Consider the following 22583-nt stretch of genomic DNA (forward strand, 5'->3'; position numbering starts at 1 on the left):
TTGAAAAAGCTTTTTTGTACTTACTGAACTCATAAAATCAAAAAACAATTAATGGTGAAATAGTGTTAATTATTACAACTTCACCTGGGATATTCATGCGGAGACCGGAAAACTTGTTACATATAACGTAACAGATACCTATTAAGAGACCAGAATTGATCTACAGATCTTTCGAAGATTATATAATTTTAGACTGTCATTAGGTAGAAACAACCTATCATGGTTACATAAAACATGACTGAAGATTTGTCTAAAAATTAACCCAGGAAAGCAAAATCAGAATTTTCCTAGAGTGGAAACCTCAGGATTCAAAAGCTCTATTAAGTTTAGGTATATCATACCATTCTTGGTAAAAAGGCCGCAAGTTAGTGTGAGATGTCCAAGTGGTTTGGGATTGAAAAATACAGAAGTCTATTAAAATAAATTTTGCTATTATAAGATGAGATGAAGGTAACTCATTAGGCAAATAATGCCTACTCACCACAATTTGAATTTTAACAACTTCTCACAAAGTATCTTTAATCAACACCACTAAAAGAACAAAAATTATAAAAGTAACTTTATTGCTTCCCCATCTCTTACCAAAAAGCTGCCATAATAAAAATACTCAGATAAGTAGATCTAAGAATGAAGCTTTATTAGACAATGAGAACAGCTTATTTCACTAGAAATATTTACCTTTAGAAATTGTTAAAGCAGGCGACCACTGTGATCTTAGAATATCGAGACAAATGCTGCCATTACTGTTAATATTTGGATGATAAATTCTTGTTGTAAATGCAACCTAAAACAAAAACTTTTAAGTATTTTATTCAAATAAAAACAAACATCTTTTAAAGCAAAACTTAAAATAATCAAGCCACAATGTTAAAAATGTCATCTATTAGCATAGAAGTTCTAAATATTATAGAAACTGATTTTTACAATCTGACCACAACCCCCTGCCTCCTCTTTTTACAACAGAAACCTAAACTTTTGGATAAAAATTTCATTACTCATATGATGTAAAGTTCTAAAGGTTACTGTGGCCCTACCATATCATGAATCAAAGGGCAATTTAAAGGTATTTAACACATTCATTTATAAAAGCCCTAACTTTTGGATGTAACCAAAATTTGTAGACCATCTCATTTAAAGTTTCATTAAGTTACACAGGTACACCTGAGTCTGCATTTCCACCGTACATAAAACATAAACTTGAATCACAAAAATGGAAACCATCACATTGCACCTATAACATTACTAGAGATTGTTATAGTGACATGTTTATGACCTTTGTATATTACCTTTTCTAGTTATTCATACAGGTTGAATTTATGTTAATGACTGAAAAGTGAAGGATAATATGCTTTTAATACCTATAAACCAGTGCACTAAGCAACTCTAAGTTTTCACAAATTTACACTTACGTATACAAAACTATAAGCATAATAAGCATATGCTGTAACAATACGTGCAAATATAAATTGAAGTTGGACATTTGATGCTTACAAGACAACAAAAGCCCAAAAATCAGAATCTGTGTAACAATAATACAGATGAGGGCGGAAGCTTCCACATGGTCTGAATCTTGCAACATTAAAGAAAAGGCAAACCTTATTCCTATTTACAAAGCTCAAACTGAGGTCTAGCTCTTTAAACCAAAGGTTAAGAGTCAGCATCTATACATGAGTGCAATTCAACATATATATACAGCCTACACAGAACCCTATCTTCCAAGAATGCTCTATTCCTTTGAAATAAAGCATAAATCTATACTAACAGATTTTGAGGGAAAATACTTGCCTTAGGTGGTTTGAAGGGGTAGTCTGTAGGAAAATGAATTGTCAAAAAGAATACACCGCCTTGATATGGGCTGTCATTCTGTAAAAAGAAAAGTATGCTTAACTCAAATTTAAAATATTATTGCTAAATATTCCGTAACATTTGTTTCCAAGCATTTCTCTAATAATGAACCCAAATCACCTATTTACACTGCAATAAATAATCTATTCCATGAAAATTCAGTCTATAGTAATAGAAAAAAACTTAAAACTTATACAGTAATAAACCCTAATTTATCTAGTCATTTTACACGTCACCAAAATGTTTTTTTAAAAAGTTATCCAGAAACGCAAGTATTCTAGATCTCAATTCTCAAAAGTACAACACAGCAATAAAGCCTACATAATCATGTTTCAGAATAATCTGTAAACAAAATTTTACACATGTAGATTATTTCTTCCAATAGCCAGATGTGTACAAATGGCTTCACAACAGTCCATTCTGCCCACTGGCAAACCAAATGTTAGCTATTCCAGGTAACACACACACACCACCTTCAAGAGGAGAACAGAGAAAAGCCTAAGCTTCTCATTTTAATCAATACCAGAAAATACATGCATTGCCCCTATTTTATGCATGAGAAAAATGAGGCTTAAAGAACTTAGTCTAGTGTACAAATGGTAAATGATAGAACCAAGATTCAAACACAAGTCTTTTGAAGACCACTTAATGATCAAAGATACTGACCTACTCAGGAATTTAAAGTTAAAATGTGGAATGCCTAACTGCTTCTGGGTATGCAAAGAACCAATCCGAAGACATGTTTTACAACTTACATGAACTGGGTTTTTACCAACACTGACTCCCCTCTATTAGAAAGGCTTTGTATATACAGCTATATATGAGCCTTTCACTATGCCCATTCTGGATGTCAGGCACATAAAAAACAGGCCTGACACTAACACAGCTCATCTAATTCCTACCCTTCTGTAAAATAAATAAACATTAATTCAATTAATCTAACCCCTTGCTATATACTGTATGTGTGTTAAGGGATCCAAAGAACAATTTTTTTTATCTTGATGAGCTTACACTGATAGACATGTAAAGTAACTGCAATGAAATGTTATAGGTATCATGAAATATGAACAAGGGACACGAGTTCAAAGAAGAAAGGTCAATTTATTAATGAAGAATCAGGTTCAAAGAAATATACAACTAGTAAATGGAAGAGCTTTTATTTATTTGAGACGGAGTCTCACTCTGTCGCTCAGGCTTAAGCGCAGTGGCACGATCTCAGCTCACTGCGACCTCTGCCTCCTGGGTTCAAGCAACTCTCCTGCCTCAGCCTCCCAAGTAGCTGGGATTACACATATGCACCACCACACCCAGCTAATTTTTGTATTTTTAGTAGAGACTGAGTTTCACCATGTTGGCCAGGCTAGTCTTGCGGCCTCCTGACCTTGTGATCCACCCATCTCGGCCTCCCAAAATGTGCTGATTATAGGTGTGAGCTACTGTACCCAGCCAGAGCTTATTTAAAGTGAGTCCTTCTCCATCTCCCAAGTCTTCCCCCTTTTTTTTTGTAGGGGTGGAGGGCGGGGGGAATGGGAACGGGAAGGGGGACAAACAAGACGCAGAATATCATCTTGCTGTTTGTTGCCCAAGCTCGAGTAAAATGGTGCAACCTCAGCTCACTGCAAGCGCCGCCTCCCCAGGTTCAAGAGATTCTCCTGCTTCAGCTGCCTCAGTAGCTTGGATTACAGGTGTGCACCAACGTGCCCAGCTAATTTTTTATTTTTAGTAGAGATGGGGCTTCACCATGTTGGCTGAACTCTTAACTCCTGACCCCAGGTGATCCGCCTGCCTCAGCCTCCCAAAGTGCTGGGATTACAGGTATCAGCCACCGTGCCCAGTCCTTTTTCATATTTTCTACAAAATATGGAACTAGAAAAACACTCAGGTCACTTAGAATGTGACCTGAGTTTATTAGATTAACATGTCTTTATTAAATAGTTATATTAATTTTGAATAGATGCTTCAAATAGCATATACTTTCACCTGATCCAATACTATACAAGATATGTTTTTTCTGTGTAAAATTAACAATTTAAAGGTAATCCCAAACACTAAAGTTGTTTTTGTTTTTTTTGAGACAGGGTCTTGCTCTGTCGCCCAGACTGGAGTGCAGTGGCACGATCTTGGCTCACTGCAACCCTCTGCCTCCTGGGATCAAGTGATTCTCCCACCTCACCCTCCCGAGTAGCTGGAACTACAGGAGTGAACCACCACAGTTGGCTAATTTTTTTTGTCTTTTTAGTAGAGACGGAGTTTTTGTTGTCTTTTTAGTTGAGAGGCTGGTCTCAAACTGCTGAGTTCCAGTGATCCACCCACCTTGGCCTCCCAAAGTGTTGGGATTACAGTCGTGAGCCACCATGCCCGGCCCCAAACATTGAAGTTTTAATAACCTAATTCCAGAAGTTCTTTGTAAGCTTTCATTTCAATTTTCATAAAATCAAATGCTGTCTATGACTGCTTCTGAATAAAGGCAATCTGCTGATGGGATTTAGGCAAAGCCAAATTTCGTTTCGTTTGTTCGAAAAAAGAACTTTATAAAGAAGGCAAAATATTTCAATGTTACAATTTAACACTAAAGTTCTGCCATGCCAAAAGAGGAAGAACTACGAGGTTCAGAGATAATGAAACTAGGCAATATAAAAAATTGAGACCCTATGATATTTAAATTCTATTATGAATCAGCAGCAAACTACACCAAAAAGAAACAAAATCCCCAAAGAATAAGGAACACTGTGATCAGCAAATCGACTCAAATCGTACAAGTCCAGAATTTATGTTAGATTTTTTCAGAAACCTTCTACTTCTTTTGCTCTCATCAGTGCAAAGTTGCTCCCTCACAGTGCCTCAGCTCTTCTGTGGCAATAAAACGTTGGTATTCTTTTTTTTTTTTTTTTAAAGTGGTGCTGTCGCCCAGGCTGGAGTGCAGTGGTGTGATCTCGGCTCACTGCAACCTCCACCTCCCAGGTTCAAGTAAATTCTCGGGCCTCAGCCTCCAAAGAAGCTGGAATTACAGGCATGTGCCACTACACCCAGCTAAAAATGCTGGTATTCTTATAGGTTGATTTTCTACTCTTAACTGCTGACCCATAAAAATTTGAGTTGCAAAATATATCTCTGGTCAGTTATTCATTCCAGGGCATATATTCAAATGCCTACTGATATTTCTACTTGGATATCTCTACTTGGATATCTCATGTCATGCGTCCAAAACTGAAACTTGTCTCAATCCCTTTTTTCCTGTTTATTAATAGCAAGCCATAACTGAAAGCCATAAACCAGGATCTCATCATCAACTTCTTCCTCTCTTATCTCAGAATCAAGATAGTTATCAAGTAAGATCTTTAAAATTTCTTGAATTAGCTTCTCCTTTATGCCCACTGTCACTACCATCTTAGTTCATGATGTTATCTTCAGCCTAGATTATGGCAATAGCTTACTAATGATTATCCCTCCATCCTAATGATAAAGTGGTCTTTTAAAAATGTTACTCCCCTGCTTGAAATCTATGATAGTTTTTAAGATAATTCCAACTCCTAAGTACATACGGTGCTTTATGATCTGGGTGCCCATCTAGTTTCATCTTCTGTCTCTTCTATAGAACATGTTCTCTACTGCACATAAAATATTATATGGATAACATATCTTTTTCTCTTCCCTACTTGGAATATTCTTCCTTATAATATAGCCCTTCCTTTGTCTTATCTGCTCCCTACCCTTCTTTTATACCTCTTTAAGCACATAGTTACCATTATCCACCCATATATCTAACATTTACTTATATTTCTCTTTTATTAGACTACAAAGCTCCTCAACGAGTAAGGTTAAAGGTGGAAAAAGTCTTCAGGTATCAGTAACCTACGTGGGAAATGACATAATAATACACTTGAAAAAAAAGTTGAAAAAATAATCCTTATGGACCAAATAAAATAGTACCTATGGACCAATTATTTTAATTCAGATAGTTTTTCTGGTTGACTATGCTCAGGCTGCCAAAGGTTACATTTTTCAGATACTTTCACATTTTTCACAGGTACTCTCTTCTACATCTCTGTCATAGATTAGGTGGGAGTTAGTGTTGTTCTCTAAATCCACTTTTTCTGGATTTCCAATAAAAAAAAATTTAAGCAAGTAAATATCAGAGGCAATAGGTAAGGAAGTCAATTTCTTCTAATTACATCAATTCTTGTTGGAAACTAACCTTAATACAGTACCCCACGCCCCCCTCCCCAAAAAAACCCACGCACACAAAAAACTAGCAATGCTGTCATTTCTTTCGAAGGTTTAGTTTTTAGTCAATAGTTGTGCTTCCGAAGTAGCTTACCTTCAGAAAGAATAAGCCAGTACATATGATTATTAAAGCCAAGCAATTTTGCTGCATAACTAATGATCTAAAGGATTTCCCAACAACTCACTAAAATCAAAGTTACTCTATTGAAACTCAAAATTAGATGGTATATTCCCTACAGTCAGGAATCTTCAGTTCTGTGGCACTGGCACCACTTTAAGGGACCTAAGTAGTAGTCCAAAGCAAAAGTGACGTTGTTAACTGTCCAGTTCTCCCACTAAATCTGTAATTTATGGGTTGCTTTAGGTCACAACTGCTTGCTACATAGAGCAACCATACTCACAAAATAAGCTACTATTTATCTTATACAGTGATGCTTTGTCACAAAGAAGTATTGAGAAGCCAAAAGAACAAAATGAGTTGTTTCATTGGTGCACTCCACAGTAAGCATATAGTTAACTATTTAAAGCTGGCATCTAAATTATGTGCTTACTTATGTACAAGACAATACCCGTACTTTGGGTGGATTTTTATAATCTTTGACTCCTTCTTGAAATTTACCCAACCAACAGTGAGAACTAACCTTTTTAACTGAAAACATATTTCAGTGAGTACTGCTACCAAAGCAAAACCCAGCAGTTGTGGTTAATCAGGTTAATATTTAAATGGTTCTGAAAATCACATGCTTCTGTTTGTAAAAGCAGAAAACTGCTAGTCATTATATTAAAAGGTTGCTGAAAAAGTTCAGCAAGGAATAGCCATCACCTGAAATATATATTTAAAAAATGAAAAAAGGTAAATGTTTTCTCAAAATAACAGCAAATTAAGTAAACTGCTAAAAAATCTGTCAGAATAAGCAACACCATTCTCTAAAAAAATTACTACCATACACTCATCATTCATGTTTCCTTTTGATTGTCTATAGGTATGTTCCTTGCCTTTTGGGAAAAACTAGTGTGTTGTTCAAAATAACAAAGTCTAAACTGTCAAGCAGAAAAACCAACTAGTTTTAAAGAGTTAGTTTATTCTGCACACCATCCAATTAGAAGTTTTAATTACCAACGCTTCTGTGCTTTCTTAGTATTGACAATTTTTATAATGAAACTATCAACTACCCTCTGAATCAAAGATGAGCTTTATTTTAAGGCATTTTATAGCATTCTTTGAAAACTGGTAATCCAAAATGGGAAAATTCTAGAGGTTGCAAAAGCAACTGCTTTACAAAACACTAGGCAGATAATATGGAATTGACCTAGTAGGCACTGTGGTAAACACATATCCCATCTAAAAAAGGGAGGCAGCTGTCATTCCATCCCAAGCCATTACTGCTTATGGAATGTGGGCCTACTCAGAAGGCTTTTATTTGAAGACTGCCAACTTTCAAAAATATCGTGTGGGCCAAACTGGGTAACTCAACATTTAACTGCGTGTATTAAAATTAAACAATATTGCTACCAAATTAGATAAAAGTAAGTACTTTTAATAACTACAAAGCCAGGATTGTGCATTTCGTTATTACAGGACTATTTTTACTGTTTTAAATGTTACTTTGTTTTAAAATGATCCAGGACGTTTCAAAGTATTAAACTTAATATTTGCACCCCTGCCATGTCTTACTTTGATTTAGTTTTTCTACCTTTAGGGCACTAACATTTTAATTACTCTAAATTAATCCTCCCTGCTTCAATTTCCCATTAATTTATCCTACTCAGCACTTCATTCACCAATCACTTATTTTCCATCTTGTCACACTTCAGCACTTGTTTTAGGTATCTGTCTCCTCTAATACAGTGTAAGTTCCCTATAAGATCGACAGGGATGTTTATTATGTTCAATTTGTATCCTTATTACCTGGCACACAGTATGTACTCACATTTGAGACAGAAAAATGACTAAAGTTAGAATCAGAATTACTAAATAAATACTTGTTGATTCGACTCATCTACTAACTCTAAGAGCATTTTTTCCTTTAGAATTCTAAATATTACTTACTGACCATTATCTCACCTAGTACATTATTGCTCTTTATGTTGCTTATAAAACCACCAAAAAGGGAAGACAGTTTTCAGGAAGATACACATGTAACTTAGAAAACAAATCCTTAAGCGCCTTAGCAAGTTAAAAAAAAAAAAAAAGTTAAATATTTGTGTAAGATACAGTCTTACCCCAGGATGTTTTAGTGCGCTCTAATTCTCTGAAATTCTTAGATGGTATCCATAATTCTGAATATTCAATTATCCAGCATATAGTTGCTTATCTACCCAGGATAGAAAGGAATTTTGCTATATTCAAAATATCACTTTCTGCCTAAATATATTCAAATTTTGCATAAACTGAAGTTCTATAAAGAATCAAATATCAAAATACAATTAAGCTAGATTATTGGCAGCTGCAGTAACAGAATAAGATCTCTGAGTAACACAACGCATGGCATATCAGAGCCAGTAACTTTGTCTCTATAAATAACAGGAAGTTCCATGACAATGCTTTACACAGTGCTATGTAGAAAAACTGAACTGAGATACAGAGATGTTTGGTAGGTCATAGAGATGGCTATACTCTAGAACGTGAACACAGGGATAGACACAAAGTACACGTAACAAATGACTAACTCATTATGTTTTTTCTTTCAAATGCAGTACAACTATGGAATATCCAAAATAGAATTAACTATATGATAAAATAAACCTACAGACCAAGTTAAAAATTACAACCAAATCAATGCTGGATTTTCACTTAAAACTAAATTTAAAAATTCTTAATACTTACAGGTCCCATAATTGTGGCTTGCCAATGAAACACTAGAAAAAGAAAAAAAACTCTGGTTATCTAAAAATGCACAAGCTTAAAAAAAAATTAGGCATAAAAATCAACTTGCAAGTTACTTACTATCATCCCCAACTGGACCTGCAGAACATTGTGCTGGAGGGTCACGGGCCAAATCACTAAGTTCCTACACCAAGACAGAAAATGGGTGAGTCACATAAGCTTAATTTAAGAAAACAAGCAAATGAGTCCACTGCTTTCAGTTACTTTCACCCTATTTTTAAAGGCACACTCCATCACAATTCACATAAATAATATATTCCATTAGGAGAGAGAACATGCCTGAACATATGCTGAGACAATCATCTTAGCTAGAGTTCGTAAAAATATATATGCAAACACATTGATACAAAATTTTTTATTTACATAAAAGCCAATCTCTTACAAACCGAAATAGCTATAATTAGATATTCTCATAGTTTAAGAGCTTAGACCAGAGAGAGCTCAACATTCACGTTATTTGTTGAACTTCCAAGACCACTTTCAGAGGCCCTCAACTGTCTTAAATTCTTTGTTCTTCCTGAACCATCCTTCCTCCCCAATCCACTAACTCTATTTTCTACCTGAAAACAAACCAAAAAAACTCTCATGGGGCTAAGTACCTTTTTTGTTTTCTAATCTCCTTATTCTCTCAACTCAACCTTTTTTTTTTTTTTTAAACTCAGCATCCATTTTTAACTATTGAAATTTTTTTTTTTTTTGAGACGGAGTCTCCAGGCTGCAGTGCAGTGGCGCAATCTGGGGTCACTGCAAGCTCCACCTCCCAGGTTCACGCCATTCTCCTGCCTCAGGTGCCCGCCACCATGCCAGGCTAATTTTTTGTATTTTTTAGTAGAGACGGGATTTCACTGTGTTAACCAGGATGGGTCTCGATCTCCTGACCTCGTGATTGAAATTCTGACCCTGAAGAGCGTACTTCTGTAAGTAGAAAGACGTTTGCTCTTAACATATAGTCTGCACAATTCAATATGAACGTTTTATTTCCAACAAGTATGTAGTTCACTGTTCCATGACTTGTGCATAACAATATGAATTATCTACTATGAAAATATAGTTTATTAGAATATTTTTAAGATGGTACAGCTCCATCTTACCAATGATATAACCAATGTCTAATAATCACAAGTTAAAAAAAAAAGACAATAAATAGAACCAATGTTAATACATTACTGCCTTCAACATTTTCAAACTAACAGTTTCTCTTAAGTTTAGTCTATGGCATAAGTCAGTACACCCATTAAGTCTAGGGACTACTATATCTTCTATATCCCCTTTCTCATATAAACACGGAAATAACACAGAAGGGTAAGGTTTGGGATTCCATTTGAACAGCAGAAGACCACTAGGTACGTGGCTCATGCCTGTAATCCTAACACCCTGGGAGGCAAAGACAGGGATCGCTTGAGCCCAGGAGTTTGACTGAGACCAGCCTGAACAACAAAGGGAGACCCCCGTCTCTTCGAAAATGTTAGCTAGGCATGGTGGTGCATGCCTGGGGTCCTAGCTACTCAGAAGACTGAGGTGGGAGGATCACTTGAGCCCAACAAGTCAAGGCTGCAGTGAGCTGTGATCATGCCACTGCACTCCAGTCTGGGCAACAGAGCTGTCTTGAGACAGAAAAAAAACACAAAATCCTGTCTCAGAAACAAAAAAACAAGACCAAAAAAGCTAGACTGGGCACAGTGGCTCACGCCCGTAATCCCAGCACTTTGGGAGGCTGAGAAGGGTGGATCACCTAAGGTCAGGAGTTCAAGACCAGTGCTGCTAACATGGTAAAACCCCATCTCTACTAACATCACAAAAATTAGCCACGCATAGTGCACACGCCTGTAATCCCAGCTACTCGGGAGGATGATACAGGAGAATCACTTGAACCTGGGAGGGAGAGGCTGCAGATCGCGCCACTGCACTCCAGCCTGGGGAAAAGAGTGAGACTGTCTCAAAAACAACAAAAAAAAAACCCCAGAAAAGCTGAACGTACTCATATACAAAAGACCAAGTACTAGAAAGCAAAAGAAAGGATGCCTAAATAAAAAAGATACAACAGAGAAGCAGAGGCGAGAGGACAGCTTGAGCGCAGGAGTTCGAGACCAGCTTGGATAACATAGTGAGACCCCATTCTCCATAAAAAGAAAAAAAAATTACGATAAAGCCAGTATCAACTGTCTACCACAATATCAATGCATCCGTGTATAACTAAAAACATTAATCTTCTTTTGGTCTACTAGAACAACTTATTCCCTATAACTACAGGAATTTAAAAATGGAAACAGATTTTCAAAGTGGGTAACTTTTTTTCCTCAACTGTGATCTTTTGCCTTCCTGTGCAAAATCAAGGACACAAAATGCAGAACTTTCAGTATAAGCTCTCTCAGAAGGGTGCAGGGAATGGGAAGAAGAGCTACAAATCTTAATTTAACAAGGCATAGTGGCATGTGCCTGTAGTCCCAGCTACTCGGAAGGCTGAGGCAGGATTAAGCCCAGGTGTTTCAGGTTTTTGTGTGTTAAATGATCATGCTGGTGGAGAGCCACTGCACTCTAGCTTGGACAACAATGTTTAATGCCTATTTTATACTGGCTTCAGATGATTATTTTCATTCACTACATCAAATTTAAACACAGTGACAAATTTATGTAAGGGTCCCACTATGGCACTGACTTGGTTGGGGGAAATAAATGAGTCCTCTAAATTTTGTTCATTTTGTTAAATCCACTGGAAATCTTTAAAATAGGCTCTCAACAAACTGAGGGGCCAGAACAAAAAACAACCCAGCTTCCAAGTCTTTTAGAAAATTAGAATCATTGAATAGATAGCTTGAAAAATCAGATAATGTTGACATCTTTCCCTGCAAAACTGAGGAACTGAACAAATCAAACAATGTATGCACCAACAGTACACAAGCCTGTAACTGTGCTTTAAATATTTCAATTTGTGGGAAAGCTCTTTCAATGGAGCTGCTATTTTTATTGGGTAAGTTTGTATTCTGTAGCAGCATGGAATAAAATTGAAATTTCGAGAAACACTGAAAAAGAAAAGAGACTACATAAAGTGTTTTTGTCTTATTAAAAAAGAATTGAGACTTTGTCCCATTTAACAGGATTTGCTCTAAGCTTTTAAGACACCTTAGCTCCCAGAGGGCATTTTGCCATTTAAAAAATTATAGTATTATAGACTACAGTCAATGGGGGTTATTAATTTAAACCTTATTAACCTCAAAAGTGCTACTTTCAACAAGATTAAGTAAGACTATTAGAGATATTAGCAAAACAGCACTGAGAAACAGGGCTAGGAAACTAGAGTACACAAATACGGACTAAGAATAATTGTACTACCTTTAAAAATGTTAAGATGATCAACACAAAGTTTTAACTGCTCTAATAGTATCTTTTTTAAAAAATGAAGTTTTGATTAAAGTTGTTTAGTTAAAAGTCCACCAATCCTCTCCCCTTTTAAAAAAGTGATGGGAATCTCACTATGTTGCCCAAGCCGGACTACAGTGGCTATTCACAGGCGGAATCACAATCATAAGGCACTATAGCCCAGAACTCCTGGGCTCAAGGGATCCTCTTGCCTCAGCCTCTTAAGCAGCTGGAGTTGCAGGTACGCATCACTATGTACAGCAATTTGTTGAACAATAAATGTACATTTTTAATTGTAAAATTAAACAATGAATTTTGTTGATTGACTCCATGTGGGAAGAAAAGGTGACGCTAAGATTTTTGGCCTGAGCAAAGCATGAGATTGGCATTAAGTAAAATGGTCAACTTACAGGTGAAGCTTGTGGGCAGATGTAGAGATAAAGTAAGTAAAATAGGATAATGTAAGTAAAGACTCAATTTGAAAAGTATATATACAAGTTGAGAACAGGCTGGGAACAAATACAAAGTATCATTAATAAACAAATGATGTTTATAGCCATTCAACTTGGTGAGAGCACTCCTGGAACAGAAGGTCCTAGGAGTTAACACTGGACTAATTTAACGCTAAGAAAGGGAACCTTGGCCAGTAACCTGAAAAGTTAAAAAGAAATAAAGAATGTGAAGAAAGGCTTTGTCACAATAAACAACACTGCAGGAAAATTAAGAGGCAAATATTTGCCTCTTATATTCAAAATACACTTCAGAAAATGGCCAGTTGTTCGGGAATGGTCAGTCTAGATTAATGCCATAAAACAAACAACAAAAATAGAGTAGACAAGGAGAATTGTCCTGATATGCTGTGCCAATTCACTTTGGAAACTCATCACAACTACTTACAAGGTTGCCAGAGATCCCAAGATTCACAATTTTAAGACTGTATATCACACACCCTTTATATGCTTGTCTGTATAGATATACCCTCATGTCTTCCACATATTCAGAAATGGAAGAAAATTCATTCCAAATACTATTGATTCTGATCAGTGGGAATTACAGAAATTCATATCGCAGTTCAACAATCTGTAAAAGAAACTACATGGCTTTTGGCCTTCAAAAAATTGTAACAGAAAATATTAACTGAACCAAATCAGTATTTCAGAAGCTTTTTTTTTTTTGCAACTTAAATTATCCACTATTAAGAAAATGACTTTTTTTTTTGAGATGGAGTCTCCCTCTGTCATCCAGGCTGGAGTGCAGTGGTGTGATCTTGGTTCACTGCAACCTCCTCCTCCCAGGTTCAAGTGACTCTCCTGCCTCAGCCTCCTGAGTAGCTGGAATTACAGGCACATGCCACCACACCTGGCTATTCTTTTTTTTTTTTTTTTTTTTGTAGTTTTACTAGAGATGGGGTTTCACCATGGCCAGGCTGATCTCGAAATCCTGACCTCAAGTGATCCGCCTGCCTCGGCCTCCCAAAGTGCTAGGAATACAGGTGTGAACCACTGCACCAGGCCTGCAGTCTTACTTTTAATCTTACACAGGCCTACTTTTTCTCATGGTTCTCTTCTCATCTCTGAAATAGGAATCACTACCTGGCACATAATGGACTGGTACTTAACAAGCAGACCATGTGTAGACCACCCATCCTGAACCAAGATTCCTGGGCAAGGCTCTTAATTCATCTGTTACTGAACAAAAGCAAAACTGCTCCACACATGGGCCACATAATATAGCCACTTGTTTATTTAAATTTTTGACCTATGTGATAAATCCTGATGCTCAGTTGTCTAAAAATGTCTTTGTAAGCATCTGAATATACCTAATACTGAAATAAGAGTTTAAAAAGCTGACAACACAATCCAAGTTTTACATTTATTTACTCATAATTAACTCAATAAACATACTAGATTTTACATTTAATATATGTTAAAATGTCTGAACAAAAATATTTAGCGTAATTTTCTTTTTTTTGGAGATGGAGTTTCACTCTTGTCGCCCATGGTGGAGTACAATGGCACAATCTTGGCTCACTGCAACCTCTGCCTCCTGGGTTCAAGTGATTCTCCTGCCTCAGCCTTCCGAGTAACTGGAACTAGAGATGTGCGCCACCACACCCGGCTAATTTTTTGTATTTTTAGTAGAGACGGGGTTTCACCATGTTGGCCACACTGGTCTCAAACTCCTGACCTCAGGTGATCACCTTGGCCTCCCAAAGTGCTGGGATTACAGGCGTGAGCCACCGTGCCTGGCCAGAATAAATATTAAGATAAAATATTTTAATTTTAAAATAAAAATCAATGTAATCATGGTTGTTCTAAACACAATACCCAATAATGTTGGAATACTTCATTATAAATAAAACTAAAGGTCAGAAAACTATGAAGTTGACCTAGAATATAAACACCATACTACTTCAACATTACACATTTCAATTACAAAGAAAGTAAGAAAGTATTTCTTATAGAATAAATGAGTTTTCGGCACACTGATATTTATCCATCACTAAGCCTTTAAATGCTAGCATTATCATCCTTTTAGAGTGAAGGTATAATTTCAGCTAGTTAACACTGGGTTTCAGCTCTTCACTCCTGTAATTTCAGGTTCTTGTTACTCTCCTAACATTTCTAAATGCCTTACTTTCGAAGTTCTCCATCACCAAGACATCTCTTTAGTAATAATCAAAGAGATAAAATCAGCCCAATACACTTACCTACTTTAAATTCAATATAGAAAAATGACCTAAGTATTTTAACAATCAAAACAAAGGTCTTTTTTAAAGATAAAAATGCTGTTCTTATTTCACCACTTTCTTTCTTGCCATTTAAATAGTATCTAATATTACTATTTAAAGTACCACTTAGTACCCAATAGTAACAAAACCATGCACAAGCACTTACCTTTGAGCTACCAAATAATTTTTGTAACATTATATGCCCACAGAATGAGCAAGACAGTATCGTAGGAAAAAAAAGTGAGAAAAGAGTAAGTCATAGCAGATGCTCTTTGTAGCTAGCAGACATTTTGTCTACTCAATAAACCATCTTACTCATGAATTCCTTTTCCCTTACTCCAAATCATGTGACTGTAGTCCTGGGTCAGCCATCATTAACCAATTATTTGGACATGACTAACCACAGAATTTTGTTCCCTCAGCTGGGACCCAACTATTAGTCCATTGTCCATCCCAACCTAAGAGTTTCCAAATCAAAGGGACATTCTTCCTTCTATAATCAAGAGCTATAAGAATGTGACCCATAGCTGTTGACAGGCACGTGTCATGGACTTACATGGTAAAGTCAAAAGCTAAAGAGACCATATTCAACAGCAGCAATAACAAAGAGCTGACTTTCCATACAGATGTGCAATTTTGGTTCCTGAGGTTGTAGCTTGCTCTGGTTCCTACACCTATTCCATTCATTGTTAACTATCCCAGTTTCCTTCTAATAAATCCCTTATTTAATCTGGATTATATTAAGGAGTTAAAAAATATATACAGCAGTAGTGAGAGACCAAATCTGAATACCAATTATGTAGATTTTATGCCACTTCAAACACAATTTAGTTTTTGAGTTTTGCTGAAAAACATGTAAGAAATCTAAATGAAGCTAAGTCTTAAAATTGAATTAGGAGTAACAAGGTTAACTTTCACACTGGAGGTTAATTTAAATCCATTTCTAAAATGAAAATGTAATGTTAATTTCACCATCAAAACATTCATTCATTCATAGGAACATTGCCTTTTTGGTGCCATGCATGTTAGGTATAAAAACACCAAGATAATTAAGATAGAAATGCCTCCTCAGACTCAGCTAACAGAAAGCAGGTGCAAGACAAAACAAAAATTATACTTTAACAACCTACATGCTTAAAATAAAGGGACTCAAATGCTCTGAGAATCCTGAAAAACCAACCACTAACTTTTCCTGGGTTTAGAGGAGTGCCATTTGAGCTGGCTCTTGATGGAAAAATAAGCAGGCATTTACCAAGAACAAGGAGTGAGAGAAGCATTCTAGGTAGAGAAACTCAAAGTCAGGAGTGTCAAAGAACACAGGGCATAAAAATTTGCCAGAACAAATACTGCAGAGTTTGGTATACCAGACAGAGTACACCAGGAGAGTGGCAGATTTAGCTAAAAAGGCAGGTTATGACTTGATCTTTTAAAAGAGCCCTTGAATTTAGTCAGACTATTCCAAAGGCAATGGGAAATCACTGATGGTTTCGAAATAGAAGACAAATGAGTTTTGATTTTTAAATATACTAGCAGTCGTACACCACAAGTGTTTAACTGTACTCTTATAACCACTTTACGGAAATAGAGCTCATCTTCTCTGTTTTACAGTTGAGTCCCTTAAGAGAGGGGAAAGAAATGATTACATTCAAGCATAGAACATGTTCAGCTTTAGGATAGGTGAACTAAGTGTACCTACTAACAACTTAAAAATTTGGACTAGGGGTAAGTTTCAAAAAGGTTCCTTTCTCAACAGGGTGTCCTTGCAAAGATAATTTAATGTTTGGCAAACTGAGGGAAAAAAATTCTCAACTGCACCAAACTATTACTCAATGCTCCAGAATGAACACGATATGGAAAACTAATGTTTTCCTTAGTATTTATTTCCGCATAACCATCCACCGTTAGTCTGTATCTCATTATTCGTACGTAGTGTGAATCCAGTACTATTTTTCAAGTTACATGGCCTGAGAAAATGATTCTATCCCACAGCAAGACTATTTACTGGACTGGAAATCAATTTCCAACGACACCCATACTCAGCATTTTTAAAAGTAATTTTGTCTACGATAGTCACCTAACAAAATGTTTTTAGAGCCTAAAGTTTCACAGGCTTCAGGGACAAAAACACTAAAAAATTACACAATTGAAATTTTCAGCTTATTCCTTCCTAGCAGTCTAGAGGAAGAGGAACAGTGCCAAGAACCAGAAGGAACAGCTCTCACACGGCACCTGTAAAATTTTTTTATACTGTGCTGACTACCCCTCACCTAAGGGGAACAGCATTACTCAACTATTAAGGCCACTGAAACAGGAAAATGTTTGGTTGGGGACACTGACTTACTTTAGGAATTGCTCAAGGTTCCACTCACGTTGAAGGGACACTAAGATCAAGCACATACAATCAGGGTACAACACTAAGAAACTGTACTAGCTATAAAAAGAACAAAAGGTTGGACATTTCTTTTCCACAGAGTGCTCTTTTAGGAAACTTTCTCCTTTTAGTGTCATCTTCCTCTGAGCTGCTTCTCCTCAAACTTTCTGCACACTTGGCTAGTGTGAGAATCCAGACCTTCTCACTGGAAAAAATACTTGTATTTAAAAGCCTTAAAAAACCTATAGGAAAAGAAGTCAAGGAGACCCCTCTGCCTTCTTTCTAAGCTAGGTAAATGAGACCCTCTCAAAGCTCTCACATGGTCTAGTTCGCCTCATTAGTTAAAACACTACAAAGAAATTTGAGACAGCAACAGACTTTACACAACTGAGTTGTTTGCCTATTTCCTGAAGACCTGGTGGGCACCATGGTAGAAAATAGGGCAGGATTTTTTTCACCAAAAAAATCTCTCTAAAAGGCAACCAACAGGTACAGCTTAAGCCACTGGTGAGTGTTCTCATCTGGAAGTACATGATTTAAGCAGTAATGGGTTTGGTCACTATTTTTTTTTTTATTCTGAAACATTCCTTACATGAGATTTTTAATACAAAGCCTGCAAATGGTTTATCTTGAGGAAGACCTTTACTGTAGTCACTATGGGATATGGGATTTAACAGTTGATTGTTGGAGATGTTAAACTATGCTTTCTGCTTCTCTATTCTCTATCTTCCTCATTCAATGATAAGTGGTACTAGCAGTGGTGACCAACCACAGGCTACAAAGAACAGTAGGCCAAGGTATTGAAAACATTAAAGACCTGAAAGGATGCTAGGAGAAACATAAGAATGTCCCCTCCCTTGCTGGGCGTGGTGGCTCACGCTTGTAATCCTAGCACTTTGGGAAGCCAAGGCAGGCGGATCACCTGAGGTCAGGAATTCAAGACCAGCCTGGCCAACATCGTGAAATCCCATCTCTACTAAAATATAAAAATTAGCCGGGCATGATGGCGGGTGCCTGTAATCCCAGCTACTCGAGAGGCTGAGACAGGAGAATTGCTTGAACCCAGGAGACGGTGGTTGCAGTAAGCCGCAGTTGCGCCACTGCACTCTAGCCTGGGCAGCTGACCAAGACTCCGCCTCAAAAAAAAAAAAAAAAATTCCCTCCTTTCAAAGAGCTTATAAATTGGAAATACTAAAAATATTTATTCACAAATATTTATGAATATTATGAATATTCATGAAGCTACAGAGCAGCCATGTTCCAGGAGCCCAATAAGTATCTGAACATTCGGTTAACTTTCTTTCAATGACAGCCAGTATCTGTTCATCAGATCAACATAACCAAAAGGTAGCATTTATGAAAACAAGGTTTTAAGTGTCAACCCTATTAAAGCGTAACGCCATAAATAACTTATTCTAGGTTTCATCCCCCCAAGGCTTGTCAAAATTCAAAAGCCTATATAGTGGCAAGGCCAAGTTCATGGATTCTACCTTTAAGACAGTAAAATTATCACCACGATGTTCCACAAATCATTTGTTATCCCAATCTCTACCATCTATTTTGCACGTCATCACACAAAGGTCATACAGAGGACAGAACGCAGTAGTATAGATACATTTCCTCTCAGCACTTTCCGGAAAACTAAAAGCTTATGCCATTACTAAAGGTTAATTTCTTGTATTCTATTTGAGAGTCTATTTCTTTCAGAACTAAAGACAAGATTTACATGACTCAAAAGACAAGATTTGTATGACTGTGAATCAGCATTATAAAAACAGCCCTTGCCTCAAAAACCTATACTGAGCAACACAAAACACTGCTTTGGGGACTGGAAGAGATGATAAAATGAGGTGGGAAACAAAGGGAGTAAGTGCCTTAAGAAATTTTAAGAATCATCCTCAAGAAGACTTTACAACCAACCTAGAAAAATACAAAGGTGCGAACCAACAATAGAGGTCGAAGTGCAGTGCAATTAGCTGTCCATCAGGCAGACAGTAACTACTGTAACTGTTCATATAAAGATCTGGTTTACTATAAAGTTTTATTAACTTTAATGTTATGAAATGTCTGTATAAAATATGTAGATGCGAATATCAAGGCAGGGAACAACAAACTTCAGAAACATGGTTATTTCAAGAGAAGGATGCTTGGCAAAAAGATATGAACAATTTCACAAAACTCCAAATAGTCCCTTTAAAACACATTTTAATTTGAAATTTCTTCTGAGAAATCCTTTTTTATCTTAAGGTTTAACAGTAGGCACTGCACAGTATCTCACTGCATCACTGACAAGGTATTAACTTCCTGTTTAGTCGTAATTATAGGTGAAACAAGCATGCGTGTTCATTACACAAGGTACTAAGAATGGATTGAATATTACTAATTTTCTTTCGATCACCACTGAAGGTAAAGTCACTTAACATTATTCAAAGCCATTCTTTTGTAAGCATTATTTAAAAATGGGCAAAGAAACCCAAATTTAGATTTGAAGCTCTGCTCCATGAAAGCAAGAAGGGTGTTTTATGGACATTAAAACAAACAAAACAAACAAACAAACAAAAAAAACAAAGATTAACAGCCAAACAGCTGCCCAGTAGTAGAAAACATTCAATTACACATTAGCCATGAAATTACAGCAAGGTTAGGATTAATGTAAGTATTTCATACTGAAAAAGGTACAAGAAATCATGATTCACAATTGACAAACATTTAAATACGACAAATTCAGCTATGAAAAGTTGAAGGTCTCTTTTACAATAGATTATGTTGAAAGTATCATTAGGAGATAAAAATCAGATGTTTCAACAAAGTATAAAAATACTTCCCTAAACTTTTCCCTTCCCTACATAACAAGGTTGAGGATACAATTCTGAATAAATCTTATCTAATAAGAGAAACTGGGCAGTAAGATATTTGGTGAATGCATTCATTTTTAATTATGAAATAACACTGCTATGGTAGCAAGCTCAAGACCACAACATTTCCAAGAATGGAGAGTTTTATTTCATTAATTTCAAAATACTGGTTTTGGCAAGGGGAATTAAGTCATTATAATAAAAGACAAATCACATTGTAATAATACTAGTACAAAAAATACAGTATAGAAAATTTATTTTAAATACCTCCCCTACTAGATCTAATATTCTTGAAAGGTAAATTACAAAGTGACAAACAACTATTCATGTGTTTACATGCTTATTTTCACCACTGAACGCAGAGATTACCATAGATAAGGACCATCTTCCTCATTTATTCCCTGGGACTAGAATACTACGTCTAATGCAGATTAGGACCTTTACTCCCTTGTATCTGTGGTTCTTAATCAGAGAGGAGCTTCAGAATCACCTAGAAAATTTTCAAAATTATGTGTTTCCAGGGAAAATGATTTAGTAAGTCTAAGACCCCCATGCAGCTGTATTTTTTTTTTTAAATTCTAAACAATCTGACATTTAAAAATAAGTAAACAAGTATAACTGGATTGTAACACAAAGGATAAATGCTCGAGGTATATACCCCATTTACCCTGATGTGATTATGCATTGCATACCTGTATCAAAATATTTCATGCAACCCATAAATATATACACCAACTATGTACCCACAAAATTTTTTTAAAAACTCCAAATGTTCTGGAATATAAATGTAATTCATGTCACACCCAACAATATATAATATTCAGTAAGCTCTTCTATACGCTAACAGATACAAGAAAACTGCTATTTAAAAAAAGAATGCAAAAACCAACCTAGGTTTGAGATTTTAATCTGAAACATTTTTTTATCTCAGTGTTACGAACCTAGTTTCTTTTTTAATAGATAGATTATAGCAACATGCTGTGGAGAATCCTCAAAGATTGCCTGTCTTGGATAAAAAGGGTCACCTAAACTCAGGGGCAAAGTTTGACAGAGCAATCTAGTGACACAGTAGTTCATCCCAGTGATGGAGCATTCAACTTTTTATTTGTATAAATAACAAAAACTAGAATCAACACTGCAGATGAGCATGATGAAAGAAAAGTATGCAGTGTCAGTAATGCATCCTTTTTCAAATTAAACAAATACTGAGGTCCTATTATTATCAGCATCCTTCAGTCACAACTATCCTACACAGAAAGTGAGCTGGCTATCAACAAGCTTTGAGGACCATATATGAAACACATGCAAGACAGTTTACCCAGCCTATATACTAGTTGGGGACAATAAATATATTTTGTTCACTCTAAGACATCCTAAGCAGTTAACTGGCACATGTTAGTTTTCAGTGCTTGAAGAGACTACCCCAAAAGAATTAAATCCACTTCTACTTTCAAAATATTATTAGCCAAAATCTTAACTCACAAATTAGCTATAACCTAAGAGTAAAGCTAACTCCCAATTACTTAGATGTATAAGTGGGAGAGCAAAGCAGCTTATTTCAGGTAACAAACTAAAATCACATACATTATAAAACAGGAATTGAAGGGCCAGGCCACGTGGTGGCTCACGCCTGTAATCCCAGCACTTTGGGAGGCTGAGGCGGGTGGATCACGAGGTCAGGAGATCAAGACCATCCTGGTTAACACGGTGAAACCCTGCCTCTACTAAAAAAACAAAAAAATTAGCCGGGGGTGGTGGTGGGCGCCTGTAGTCCCAGCTACTCAGGAGGCTGAGGCAGGAGAATGGCGTGAACCCAGAAGGCAGAGCTTGCAGTGAGCTGAGATCGCGCCACTGCACTCCAGCCTGGGTAACACAGTGAGACTCCGTCTCCAACAACAACAAAAAAAGGAATTGAAATGGTTCAAAAAAGAGCTTGAGCTTTTGGTGCCTATCTGATTTGAATCCCAGTCACTTACTAGTTGTGTGACTAGACGACTATTTCTCTGAGCCTGTTACTTCATCTATAAAATTCTCACATCTATCCCACATGGTTGTCTTGAGGATTAAATGAGTTAGGGTTTAGATGAGACTGCATTGTCTTAACTACTGTAATAGATAATACTATATGCAAAAGTAAACCGTTCTGAATGACAAAAAAAAACTAAAGGATGATATCAAACTGTAGTTGTTAAGAGCACATACTCTGGACCAGGCTGCCTAGGTTCTAATCCCAACTGTCACAACATGAACCTGGGTCATCTTCTTAACCTCTATGCCTAAGTTTTTCAATTTCGAGATGGAGATAATCTTGAA

The 22583-nt window shown here is 36.4% G+C and overlaps 1 protein-coding gene across 11 annotated transcripts in view; it reads right to left on the reverse strand.

The window, feature by feature from the left end:
* The window catches only part of UBE2D3 (ubiquitin conjugating enzyme E2 D3), a 74513-nt gene that overhangs the window by 6393 nt on the left and 45537 nt on the right, over positions 1 to 22583 (reverse strand). For all 11 annotated transcript variants that reach the window (NM_181893.3, NM_181890.3, NM_181889.2 and 8 more), the window contains 4 exons: positions 9017 to 9080; positions 8897 to 8928; positions 1786 to 1863; positions 679 to 784 (listed from right to left, as the gene is read on the reverse strand). In NM_181893.3, coding sequence (NP_871622.1) covers positions 679 to 784; positions 1786 to 1863; positions 8897 to 8928; positions 9017 to 9080 — 280 coding nt within the window. The remainder of the gene's footprint in view (positions 1 to 678; positions 785 to 1785; positions 1864 to 8896; positions 8929 to 9016; positions 9081 to 22583) is intronic.

Source organism: Homo sapiens, chromosome 4 (genome assembly GCF_000001405.40).
Source record: "Homo sapiens chromosome 4, GRCh38.p14 Primary Assembly".
Taxonomy (NCBI): domain Eukaryota; kingdom Metazoa; phylum Chordata; class Mammalia; order Primates; family Hominidae; genus Homo; species Homo sapiens.